This window comes from Homo sapiens, chromosome 11 (assembly GCF_000001405.40).
Source record: "Homo sapiens chromosome 11, GRCh38.p14 Primary Assembly".
Taxonomy (NCBI): domain Eukaryota; kingdom Metazoa; phylum Chordata; class Mammalia; order Primates; family Hominidae; genus Homo; species Homo sapiens.
The window spans coordinates 84,581,475-84,594,228 of record NC_000011.10 but is presented as its reverse complement, the minus strand read 5'-3'; the positions used below and the strand labels follow the sequence as shown (position 1 = coordinate 84,594,228).

Below are 12,754 nucleotides of genomic sequence, written 5' to 3'. Positions count from 1 at the left end.
CTTACCAGGGCTAAAGAAATCAGATCATTGCTTGTTACAGCATCTTCAATTCCTCCCTCCCCTATGTTTCATTCTTTTCATTCTACAAATGTGACCAATTATTTCCTATTCTAAGGATATAAAGTCTTCTCTCAACCATTCTTTCCTTCCTCTAAGATACATCATTATTTGCACTGCCATTCTCATGTAATTTCTTGAAATTAAAAAAAATGTATTGGCATTTCTTGGGAAAATTAATAGGTGTTAGATGGGAAAAGTAGTGTTCTGAAGACAAATAAATTTAGAAAATATTCAATTAGGTAATGTTAAACAGGTTTCTTTGTTGAATAATTGCTCAGTCTTCAATATGCTAATGCTATCAAAGATGGGGCATGTTTCCTAACATAATTGGCTATAGAGAGAATCTCTTTTTTCTTTTTCTTTTTTTAAATTATAATACTTTAAGTTCTGGGATACATGTGCAGAACCTGCACGTTTATTACATAGATATACTCGTGCCATGGTGGTTTGCTGCAGCCATCAACCCGTCGTCTACATTAGGTATTTCTGCTAATGCTATCACTTCCCTAGCCTCCCAACCCCTGACAGGCCCTGATGTGTGATGTTCCCCTCCCTGTGTCCATGTGTTCTCATTGTTCAGCTCCCACTTATGAATGAGAACATGTGGTGTTTGGTTTTCTAGTCCTGTGTTAGTTTGCTGAGAATGATGGTTTCCAGTTTCATCCATGTCCCTGCACACAAAGGACATAAACTCATCCTTTTTTATGGCTGCATAGTATTCCATGGTGTATATGTGCACATTTTCTTTTTCTAGTCTATCATTGATGGGCATTTGGGTTGGTCCCAAGTCTTTGCTGTTGTGAACAGTGCTGCAATATACATACGTGTGCCTGTGTCTTCATAGTAGAATGATTTATAATCCTTTGGGTATATATCCAGTAATGGGATTGGCGGTCAAATGGTATTTCTGGTTCTAGATCCTTGAAGAATCACCACTCTATCTTCCACAATGTTTGAACTAATTTACACTGCCACCAACAGTGTAAAAGTGTCCCTATTTCTCCACATCCTCTCCAGCATCTGTTGTTTCCTGACTTTTTTTTTTTTTTGGAGATGGAGTCTCGCTCTGTTGCCCAGGCTGGAGTGCAGTGGCACGATCTTGGCTCACTGCAACCTCCATCTCCTGGGTTCAAGTGATTCTCCTGCCTCACCCTCCCGAGGAGCTGGGACTACAGGTGCCCACCACCATGCCCAACTTTTTTTTTTTTTTTTTTTTTTTTTTTTTTTTTTTTTTTAGTAGAGACAGGGTTTCACCGTGTTAGCCAGAATGGTCTTGCTCTCCTGACCTTGTGATCCACTCGCCTTGGCCTCCCAAAGTGCTGGGATTACAGGCCTGTAATCCTGTTACTGGCCTGTTTCCTGACTTTTTAATGATCACTATTCTAACTGGCATGAGATGGTATCTCATTGGGGTTTTGATTTGCCTTTCTCTCATGACCAGTGATGATGAGCTTTTTTTCATGTTTGTCGGCCACATAAATGTCTTCTTTCAAGAAGTGTCTGTTCATATACTTTGCCCACTTTCTGATGGGGTTATTTCTTTTTTTCTTGTAAATTTGTTTAAGTTCCTTGTAGATTCTGGATATTAGCCCTTTGTCAGATGGATAGATTGCAAAAAATTTCTCCCATTCTGTAGTTTGCCTGTTCACTCTGATGATAGTTTCTTTTGCTGTGTAGAAGCTCTTTGGTTTAATTAGATCCCATTTGTCAATTTCGGTTTTTGTTGCCATTGCTTTTGGTGTTTTAGTCATGAAGTCTTTGCCCATGCCTGTGTCCTAAATGGTATTACCTAGACTCTCAAGAGACTAGCATACTACTGGTCTAACACTTGTTTCTTTTTGCTTTCTCATTGCTCATACTTTAATTCAGTGAGTTCTGGCTTATTGCCCACATCATATACTTTCAACAATACTCACAAATGTCCCCATAAGTAATTGAACCCTTAAATTAATGGATCTCAGTCTTGATTACACTTAGCAACCAACCGGTGAGCTCTAAAATTCCTGCCGACTTGGCTGGGTGCCGTGGTTCACTCCTGTAATCTCAGCACTTTGGGAGGCAGAGGTAGGGGCAGATTGTTTGAGCTCAGGAGTTCAAGACCAGCCTGGGCAACATGGCAAGAACCCATCTCTACAAAAAATACAAAAATCAGCCTGGCGTGATGGCTCATGCCTATGGTCCCAGCTACTCAGGAGGCTGAGGTGAGAGGATGGCTTAAACCCAGGAAGCAGAGGTTGCAATTAGCCAAGATCATGCCACTGCACTCTAGCCTGGGTGACAGAGCAAGACTGTCTCCAAAAAAATAAATTTTAAAAATAATAAAATCCCTGCTCCTTGGGTCCTACCCCCACAGAGATTCTGATTTGATTGCGGATGCAAACTGGGTATCAGGAGTTGTAAATGCTTCCCAGGTAATTCTAAGTGTAGCAAAGTTGGGAATCATCACCCAGTACCTCAAGCTGTTAGTTCTTTCTTTTTTATTATTATTTTTATTTTTTTAATTTTTTTGAGATGGAGTCTTGCTCTGTTGCCTAGGCTGGAGTGCAGTGGCATGATCTTAACTCACTGCAACCTCCACCTCCCGGGTTCAAGTGATTATCCTTCCTCAACCTCCCCAGTAGCTGAGATTACAGGCATTTGCCATCAGCAAATTTTTGTATTTTTAGTAGAAACAGGGTTTTCTCATGTTGACCAGGTTGGTCTCAAACTCCTGACCCCAAGTGATCCTCTCACCTCTGCCTCCCAAAGTCCTGGGATTACAGGCATGAGCCACTGCACCTGACTGTTAGTTCTTTCTTTCTTCTAAGTGCTGAGGGAAACAAACAAACAAACAAACAAAACAAAAAAAAAAAAACAAGGCATGGTCTTTTGTATTTTCCCTGATCAATATTATGTAGTGGAGAAAGACGCGCACACACACACACACACACACACACACACACACAGAGAGACACATATATAGCAGTGTTTATAACAAAACTTTAGGGTGGGGGCAGGAGTATGAACATGACAACAGCATGGAGTATGACAGTATGGTCGTTAAGGTAATTGCAGCAATACATCAGAGCTACTAATAGGAGGGAGCAGAGGATGAAAGATAACATTGGAGCAGGACCTTCATACTAGAAACTTTTGTGTGGCACTAAGTAAGGTGGACTCTATTGTGAGAGAAATAAGGAAGTATAGCAGTCTTTGAATCAGAGAGCTGCATAATCCAGTTTGCATTTTTGATTTGTCCCATCATTTTCTTCCCAATTTGCACCTCTTAGGAACAGGCCCAGATCTCATAGATGTGCCCCATCACCCATCGTAGGCTTTAAATTTCTGTTATTATTTGGTTAATCAGTATATCAATATCCTCCTTCAAAAGTTTGCGTGCTCTATGAGAGGTGAACTTCTGCATTATTCACAGCTATATAGTCCAGAGCATCTGTTGGGTAGGGAGAGATGCAGCATCTATTGAGTAAATGCAACAGCAATATGAAGGTAAGGAACACCTTCATATGTTAGACTATAGCACTTTACCATTGACTTAAATCATAGTGTTTGGAATTAGATCTTTATTTTCTATTTTCCCCTACGAGCCATTATCTCTCACCCCTAGAAGATAGAAAGTAAATATTTACAAGATGTAATTTACAGTTTTGTTACTCTAGATACTGTCAGATTAATTAACAATTGTGTGTTTATTGAGTGCCTGCCTATTACAAAGCATGAAGGCGCTGTCAGGAATTTTAAAAGCTAAAGTTATGTCTCCTAATCTCAGAGCTTATTTACTTGGGAGAAAAAACGTGCCAAGCATAGCCAACAGTTTAAGAACACTAAGAAAGAAATGTGCTAAATATCCTAAGACTTTGGAGAAGAATGGGATCTCTTGGGGCTTGCTGAGCAGCAATAATTGTGGCAAGTTTTCTGCCATTACCACATTTAAATGGTAATTCAGGAGCTGATCCCATTTGGACACTGTTCATTACACACTAATTACTATTTGCCCTACAGTGATTGTTATGTGTGACAGCAAGTGTAAATGCAAACCTAGATGCTTACTATTGCCCTTCCAACAGGGTAGGACATTGATTATACAAGTTGACATGTCATGTTATTTCCCGTTTTCTCAGATAATATTTAAAGATGAACATTTCCAAAGTGCATATCCATGCTTAGTAGAACTTTGACTCTATACAAATATTAAACATAGGTGGTACACTCCAGTTAGAAAAGACTGCAGTATTTGCCTTGCACATGTGTATGGAAGTATGAGGAAACACTTCAAGGGAAATGTATTGTAAGAAATGAGTTTTAAAATAAATTCCGTCTTGGTAGTTTATTTCCATGTATATTTGGTGATTTGGGACAATTGTCTCATAAACATTGAGTTCTTTCAGTATGAAAAATCTTGTGCCATAGCCGGAGGTGACAGAGATGATTAAGACATGACCCCTGTCCTCAAAACTTCTGGCAAACAGAGGGACAGGTAAATATATAATTATAGAACATATTGATGCATGTTATAATAGAAGAATGTGTAATTGATAAGACTCAAGACAAAAGATTAGGTTTGCATTAAGTATAACATTTTTTAAAATTTCTTTTTTTTAATGTTTAACCCTCAATATTCTCTAGGAGAATTCTAGACTTCTAGTTATAAGGGATTTGTTCTCCTCCTCCCACCCCTAGTACTGTGAAAAGTTGTGAGCATTTTTCACATTAATGACTTTTCACAGGATTGAGCTTCTAGAGTGACTGACTGATCAATACCTTACACTGATTTTCATGGAGACAGAAGTGCATTGCTTAAAACTCTATGGTCTCATGCCTTCTTGCTTTTCTGATACACTTAGGGTGTAGAAATCATTAGCAAAGCTGAGAATCCCATTCTCTAGGTGTTGACTTCTCCACAGGCAACTCTCAAATATTTCTCCAGATTTGCTATCTCTCCAGACTCACAGACATTTATTTTCATCTCAAGCTCCTGCAGCCTCCCCTACTCACTTTCCAGCATCTCAAAGACATTCTCTCTTTCTTCTTTACCTTCAACCCTTCAGCCACAACCTCTCCACTCCCTCTCCAAAGTCAGGATACCTAGAATAGTACTTTGAAAGTGTTACCAGACCCCACCACTTACCTGGAGTTAGTCTTTGGGTCAGGGGTTTCCTCACTATTGTCCCTTCTGTGGTCACCAGAAAGATGTTACCAGAAAGGGGTCCCAATCCAGACCCCAAGAGAGGGTTCTTTGATCTCAGGCAAGAAAGAATTCAGGGCGAGTCCATAGAGTAAAGTAAAAGCAAGTTTATTAAGAAAGTAGAGGAATAAAAGAATGGCTGCTTCATAGACAAAGCAGCCCCAAAGGCTGCTGCTTGCCCATATTTTGTTTTTTTTTTTTTTTCACATATGCTAGAAAAAGTTTACCATCTTGGTTTTGATGGGTTTTGGCCGGCTTCTTTATTGCAACCTGTCTTATCAGCAAGGTCTTTATGACCTGTATCTTGTGCCAACCTCCTATCTTATCCTGTGACTTAGAATGCTTTAACTTACTGGGAATGCAGCGCAGCAGGTCTTAGCCTCATTTTAGCCAGCCTGTATTCAAAATGGAGCTGCTCTGGTTCAAATGCCTCTGACAAAAGGGCTTCAGAGTCCGTAAACTTAGGTTGAGTGTGTCCTGAGCCTTGTCAGAATCCAGAGACAAGGGATAAATCATAGCTATCTGTTTGGAATTGGGGAGTAAGAAAAAATTTAGTAATGCAAACCCAAATTCTAATTATCTTGCCACCATCATAGAAACACTAAGAATACAAAAGAATGATGATTCATTGTGCAAATGAGGTGTTTGGGGGTGGGGCTGAAAAGAAGATGATGTGTGAGTAGTTTTTGGAAGATTAGTAGGAGTTGCTAGAGGGTTATTCTAAACCTGGGAGACAGCATGGATTGCGGAGTCAAACTGCATCTTCTTATTCTCTGTATCTCCAGTGTTTGGCACATAGTAGGAGCTCAGCAAATGTTAGTTGAATGGAGAGGCAGAATAGTGAGGCATATTTAGGGAATGTCAATAAATTTGGTGAGCCTAGAACAGTGTGTGTGGCAGGAATGAAGAGGAATGATGCTGGGGCCATGGCATTCACAAAGCACACAGCTATGTAGGTCATCCTAAAATGTTTGGGCTTGTTAAGCAGAGGAGTGATGCTATCGTAATAGGAAGTGCACTGAAAAGAGGAGTGATTGAAAGCCAAATCCAGTTATGATCACCATGGTTCAGGTGAGCTGTAAGGAGGCATGAAGTAGTGGGGCTCCTGAGAAAAATAATACCAATTTCTTTACAAAAATGCAATTGATTATTTTTTTAAAACCAGTAAGAATAGAGCTAAATAGCATGGACTGCATAATATAATGAGCAAGGTTTTCATGGAGTTCTTTAGATTCATAGGAGTGAAAGCTAAATTCTAGGAGTATTTTGCCGATCACTGCAGGAGTGAATCTGACCAAGGAATAAACCTGCCCACTAAGTGATGTTAGGAGCTTGGAGCAAGTCTGCCATCAGATGCACTGGGGACTTTTAAATGCCAGAACCGCCTTTTTAAAAACCAGAAAAACACATCTAAATATTGTCAAGAATAAATATATTATTTCATTTGTGAAAATAAACGTTCATGAGAAAAAAATTAAAGTCATGACAGAAAAACATTTATATAGTAGGCTACATACATCATGAAGCTTGATTTACTGTTTTAATAGTAAAAAATGATAATAAATAAATTTTGGCTCAGGGGTCATGGGAATGTGTAACAGAGATGTCAGATATAATGATGGAATGAGAGCAGTCTTGGGTACCTTCTTTTCATCAGAAGTTCTCCCACAAAATACCTATGAGGGAGAGAAATGAACATAATCAGTGGCAAAAAGACTCAGATCCTTTCTCAGTTAAAGCCAGACACATAAGCCAAAGAAAATAAATTTGGGATTTTCTGGCTCTGTAACTCAAGTTCCTTCTGCTACTTTCTAATCACAATAGCTGAAAGGGATTTTTCCTCTCAAATTGCACAGACAAAAAGTTGTCACCTGGATATGTACTTCTCACACTCTCCCATAAAACCAGTGACCTGAACTAGACTAGGGAGCAGTGAACAATAAGATATTAGGAGGTTAAAGTTCCCTTTAAGAAAATGATTCAAGTGTCTGCAAAAAAGTGATTGAGTTTTCTGACTTTACTGATGAGCTTTGAAAACCCATCAAGGTGGGAAACCCAATATAAGATTACTGTATTATCACAGAAGTAATCAGATTTCAAGTCTTTGTACTTTTTTGGAGGATGGGGATGGCAAAGCATTGGTTAAGATAGTAATAAACTTTACATTTTATTAAGATATGAATGTATGACAAAATTTAAGAAGTAACCATTAAAAGATTAGAAATAGTGTATAAATGTCAAATTAGTAGAGGAATAAAATGTAATATATAAAAAATTCTAATCAATCAAAAAAGTCAATAACAAATATAAAGCAAAAGTGTATGACAAAAACAAAAAATAATATAGAAAAATAGTTTCAAATATAACAATATTCATACAAATATAAATAGATTAAACTTGCCAGTTAAAAGACAAAAATTGACATTTAAATGATTTTTAAAGTCCACCTAATATGCCATTTGATGAGACAGAAGCCTACACTTGATCTTAGCCAACAGGCTGAGAAATGATGATACATGAGCCTAAAATATAAAGACTCAAAAATTTGAAAGTTAACAAATGGAACAAATATGTACTAGGCAAATGCTAAATAAAATAAAGTTGAGGTACTTTATAAATGTCAGGCAAAATCAACTTCAAGACAAAATAGACTATTAGAGTTAAAGAAGATCATGATATAATCATAACATGCTTATTTCATAAATATACATTGTAAATTTATGCATATTTAATAAAATATCCTTAGTGTATATAAACAGAAACAGAACACATAGAGAAAGTAATAAATCCACCATCACAATGAACAATTAATTACAAACCCTTTTTTTTTTTTTTTGAGTCAGAATCTCACTCTGTCACCCCGGCTGCAGTGCAGTGGCACGATCTTGGCTCACTGCAACCTCCACCTCCCAGGTTCAAGCGATTCTCCTGCCTCAGCCACCCAAGTAGCTGGGATTACAGGCATGCACCATCATGCCCGGCTAGTTTTTGTATTTTTAGTAGAGACAGGGTTTCACCATGTTGCCCGGCTGGTCTCAAACTCTTGGCCTCAAGTGATTCACCCACCTCAGCCTCCCAAAGTGTTAGGATTACAGGTGTAAGCCCACAGCGTTAACGCTATAAGATACGTTTTAATGTCAAGAGTTAAAAAATTACTAAAGTTACAGAAGATTTAAACAAGGCACTGCTATTTCTAGTAGTATGGAGGACCATCTCCATGTAAAATACAAATAAAACAACAGCAACAAAATAAGTTACATAGGAGTTAATCAAACTAAATATATGCAAAAAAGGATGTATAAACATTTATTGAAATTTACCAAAGAAGACTTAAATACAATGGCCTGCTATGGTCATGGATATAAATATTCAGTATAATAAAGATATTCCTTCCAAATTGATCTGTAGATTCAATGCAATTCCTGCAAAAATCTTAACAGGACTTTTTGAGGAGCTGGACAACCTGATGGAAATGTACATGAGGAGAGCAAAGGGTAAGGAATACCTATGATAATCCCAAGAAGAAGAGTCAGGTGAGGGTACATGGCCTAACAGACATCAGTTATACTAAAACAATTCTGATGACAGTGTGGTTTCAGGATTAGATAAGCATATCGGCTAAACAAACAAAAGGACCTTGAAACAGAAGGTAAGTTCACCAGTTCTAGAGCCAATTTACTAACCTATTCATGCCTCAATTTCCTTATTATTAAAAAAGTAATCCTAATAGTACCTACCTCATATATGAGGACTTAATGAGTTAATTAAATAGTGCTGGGACAATTATATATAATACGAAAAATTAAATTAATTCCTATCTCACATACATAAAAATGAACAAACTTTTGATTAAATACATAAAAAAGGCAAAATATTAAACATTTTAGAAAAAATATAGCATAATATTATTATGACTTTGTCATTAGGAAGCGTATCTTAAAAAAATCATGAACCAATAATTGAAAGATGTTGAACTCAACTACATTAAAGGAATGCTGGGGCCGGGCGCGGTGGCTCACGCCTGTAATCCCAGCACTTTGGGAGGCCGAGGCGGGCGGATCACGAGGTCAGGAGATCGAGACCATCCCGACTAAAACGGTGAAACCCCGTCTCTACTAAAAATACAAAAAATTAGCCGGGTGTAGTGGCGGGCGCCTGTAGTCCCAGCTACTTGGGAGGCTGAGGCAGGAGAATGGCGTGAACCCGGGAGGCAGAGCTTGCAGTGAGCCCAGATCCCGCCACTGCACTCCAGCCTGGGCGACAGAGCGAGACTCCGTCTCAAAAAAAAAAAAAAAAAAAAAAAAAAAAAAAAGGAATGCTGGGCCAGGTACAGCAGCTCAGGCTTATAATCCCAGCACTTTGGGAGGCTGAGGCAGGAAGATTGCTTGAGGCCAGGAGTTTGAGACTAACCTGGACAACATAGCAACATAGCAGGAACCCATCTCTATAAAATAATAATAATATTAAAAAAAAATAGCCAGGCATGGTGACACCCACCTGTAGTCCCAGTTACTTGGGAGCCTGAGGCTGGAGGATCACTTGATCCAAGATATCTGAGATTATATTGAGCTATGAATATATGAAGAACTCTTGCAGGTCAATAAAAATAAAAATAAATATAAATAATACAACAGAAAAATGTTCAATAGACATCATCAAAACATTTCAAAAGAAAAGGTAAACAAATAGTGAATACTTATATAGTATAACAAAATGCCAGACCTCACGTATAAGAAAGGAATCCAAATTAAGCCCGATACCATTTTATACTCAATTATATAGGTATAAAATTAGGAAGCCTGATACTGTGAAATGTTATTGAGGTTGTTTCTTCTATACTACTGGTGGGTATAACCATTTTAGAAAACAAACTGACATTATTTTATAAAGCTGAACATTATGACTTAGCAATTTTACTCTTAGATATATATACCATAGAGAAATTATTGTAAATGTCCATTGCCCATAGTAGCTTTGTTTCTAAAAGGAAAAAGTAAAACATGATGTGAGCACAATACAAATTTATATCAACAGGAGAATAAAAATATAATTTATGGAATATTCACATAATAGAATAATATATAGCATTAAAAATAAACATGAATGAATCTTTGAAACATAAAATCAAATGGAATCATGATGTTGAGCAAGTCAAGGAAAATGATATATGGTATGATAACACTTTTATGAAGGTCAAAAAGAAGCACATTTAAACAATATATTAATATTTTGGGGTAGATTTGTATATATACACTAAAACCATACAATGAAAAAAGGAGTGCTAAAAAATTTAGGAGAGTTGTTAAATCATAAGAGATACAGAGATACAAGAATGAAGCAGAACCCATACAAGAATATTTATCATTCAGGTTTTAAAGTTGATGTTAATTTCATTACTGTGCTTCAAGACTTTCCCTTACATTACATGTATTCTTTTGCATACATCAAACATATAGTCAAAAAACATAACATTAGGGTTTGTTAAGATAGCAAGTTTTTCTTTCAGGCTTAACCCTTAAAACAAAAATGGACCTTGTAAGAATTCCTCTCTTCATTTCACTGGAGTTACCTGAAAGTGGACTTGAGTTTTACTTTAAAGAGATGACAGACATGAAATGCAGCTCTTTCAAACAAAGCAGTTGTTCATAGTGACATATCTTCTGCATCTGTGACAGCAGATGCTTTTAAAAGCAACAGGGAGAGGGAGCAGTGGTGGGTGGAATTAGAAGAAAATGCTTATATTCATATGCTGCCATGTGAATTAGATCGGCCATGCTACTTTCAGATACACTTAAGAACAATCTTATCTTAGCTGGAATTGAAAGATCTGGGACCACTGAACTGTCATTGATAGGATCTGCCACCATTGTGAGTATTTCAATGATGAAATGAAGCATAAAAATGACAAAATCATCAGGTTAGAATAGACCTCAAAAGGAAGCTTGAAGTTCTTATTACTTTCTTTTATTGGGTCAGCATAAGCAAAACCATGAAATTGACATTTCTTACTCTTGACAGCATCTGATATTAGGAAGCTCCTTTAGGAAAGATTAAATAGAATCAGGAAGACACCTGACCCTTAGCTGAACTACTTACTGCAACACCTGTACTAACCTGCAAGGATAAGATTGTGTCCAGTCTAAATCCCACTTTCTGCCATTCTCATTCAAGACTCTTTTTGTTCATCTTGACCTTATTTGAACAGGACATCTAGTCTCATAATTTATGAAATAGTCTTTTCTATAGTAGGAAGATTGTAAAGTCACTCCTCAGTTTTTTGCTGCTGTGATTCATTGATAGACATATAGATAGAGCTATAGATGTTAATATATACAAATATACACAATTTTATGTCTATAACTGTCCCATAATTTATTGTCAACATGTAATTATGGTTATACTTCCTTAATTATAGTATTATTATTATTATTTTGGAAAACATTGACTCTTTTAACTTAAAATACATGTATATATGTATTTTATATATATGTATGTATGTTTATTATATATGTATTTATATGTATATATACGCATATACATAATATATATGTATTTTAACTTAATATATATGTATTTTAACTTAAAAGAGTTTTCCCTAAATATATATATAGTCCTAATGCTGTAGTAGTTAGGACTTTTTAGTAGTAAAATACATATATATTTTAAGTTAAAATATATATATATATTCGCCACCTTCAAGATTTGTATAATTTTGATCCCTGCAATTCAAGTCCCTGATAAACTTAATGAATCTTTCTAAAGTATAATTTTTATTACCTTGCCTTTCTACTCAAGAACTTATCCTGGTTTTCAAGTATTTATTCATTCAAATTCAGCTTGTCAGATAGAATTGAAAGCTATAGTTCGTCTCACCTAACTTTATCTTGCTAGCCTTTCTTTCTTATCTGACAGGCCTGAGTTTAAATCATAGTCCTGCCGCTTTCTAGTAGGTTCCAGTTACTTTAACTGAGAGCTCTAATTTCTTTATTTGTGAATATGAACACTAAATCAATGTTGATATTTTTAAAACAGTTTTCCCTTTTTTCTTTCCTTTCTTTTTTTTTTTTTTTTTTTGGTTTTTGAGACCAAGTCTCACTGTGTCGCCAGGCTAGAGTGCAATGAGGCAATCTCGGCTGACTGCAACCTCCGCCTCCCGGGTTCAAGCGATTCTCCTGCTTCAGCCTCCCAAGTAGCTGGGAGTACAGGCACATGCCACCATGCCCGGCTAATTTTTGTATTTTTAGTACAGATGGGTTTTCACCATGTTGGCCAGGATGGTCTTGATCTCTTGATCTTGTGATCCGCCCACCTCGGCCTCCCAAAGTGCTGGAATTACAGGTGTTAAATTAACTTTTAAAAATAATTAATACTCAGATTTTTCTTGAAATTCAGCATAGATTTTGCATGAGAGACATTATAAAGTTGGAATAGTAATGTCTATCATATGTTTAAAATTAAATTAAATTTGAGAAATAGCTTAGCAGAGTTGTCCCATAGTTTGTGCCCAACAAT

At 36.8% G+C, this 12,754-nt stretch overlaps 1 protein-coding gene across 34 annotated transcripts in view; it reads left to right on the top strand.

Annotated features, from left to right (window-relative positions):
- Positions 1 to 12,754, top strand: part of DLG2 (discs large MAGUK scaffold protein 2) — a 2,173,362-nt gene that overhangs the window by 1,034,145 nt on the left and 1,126,463 nt on the right. The window lies entirely within an intron of this gene.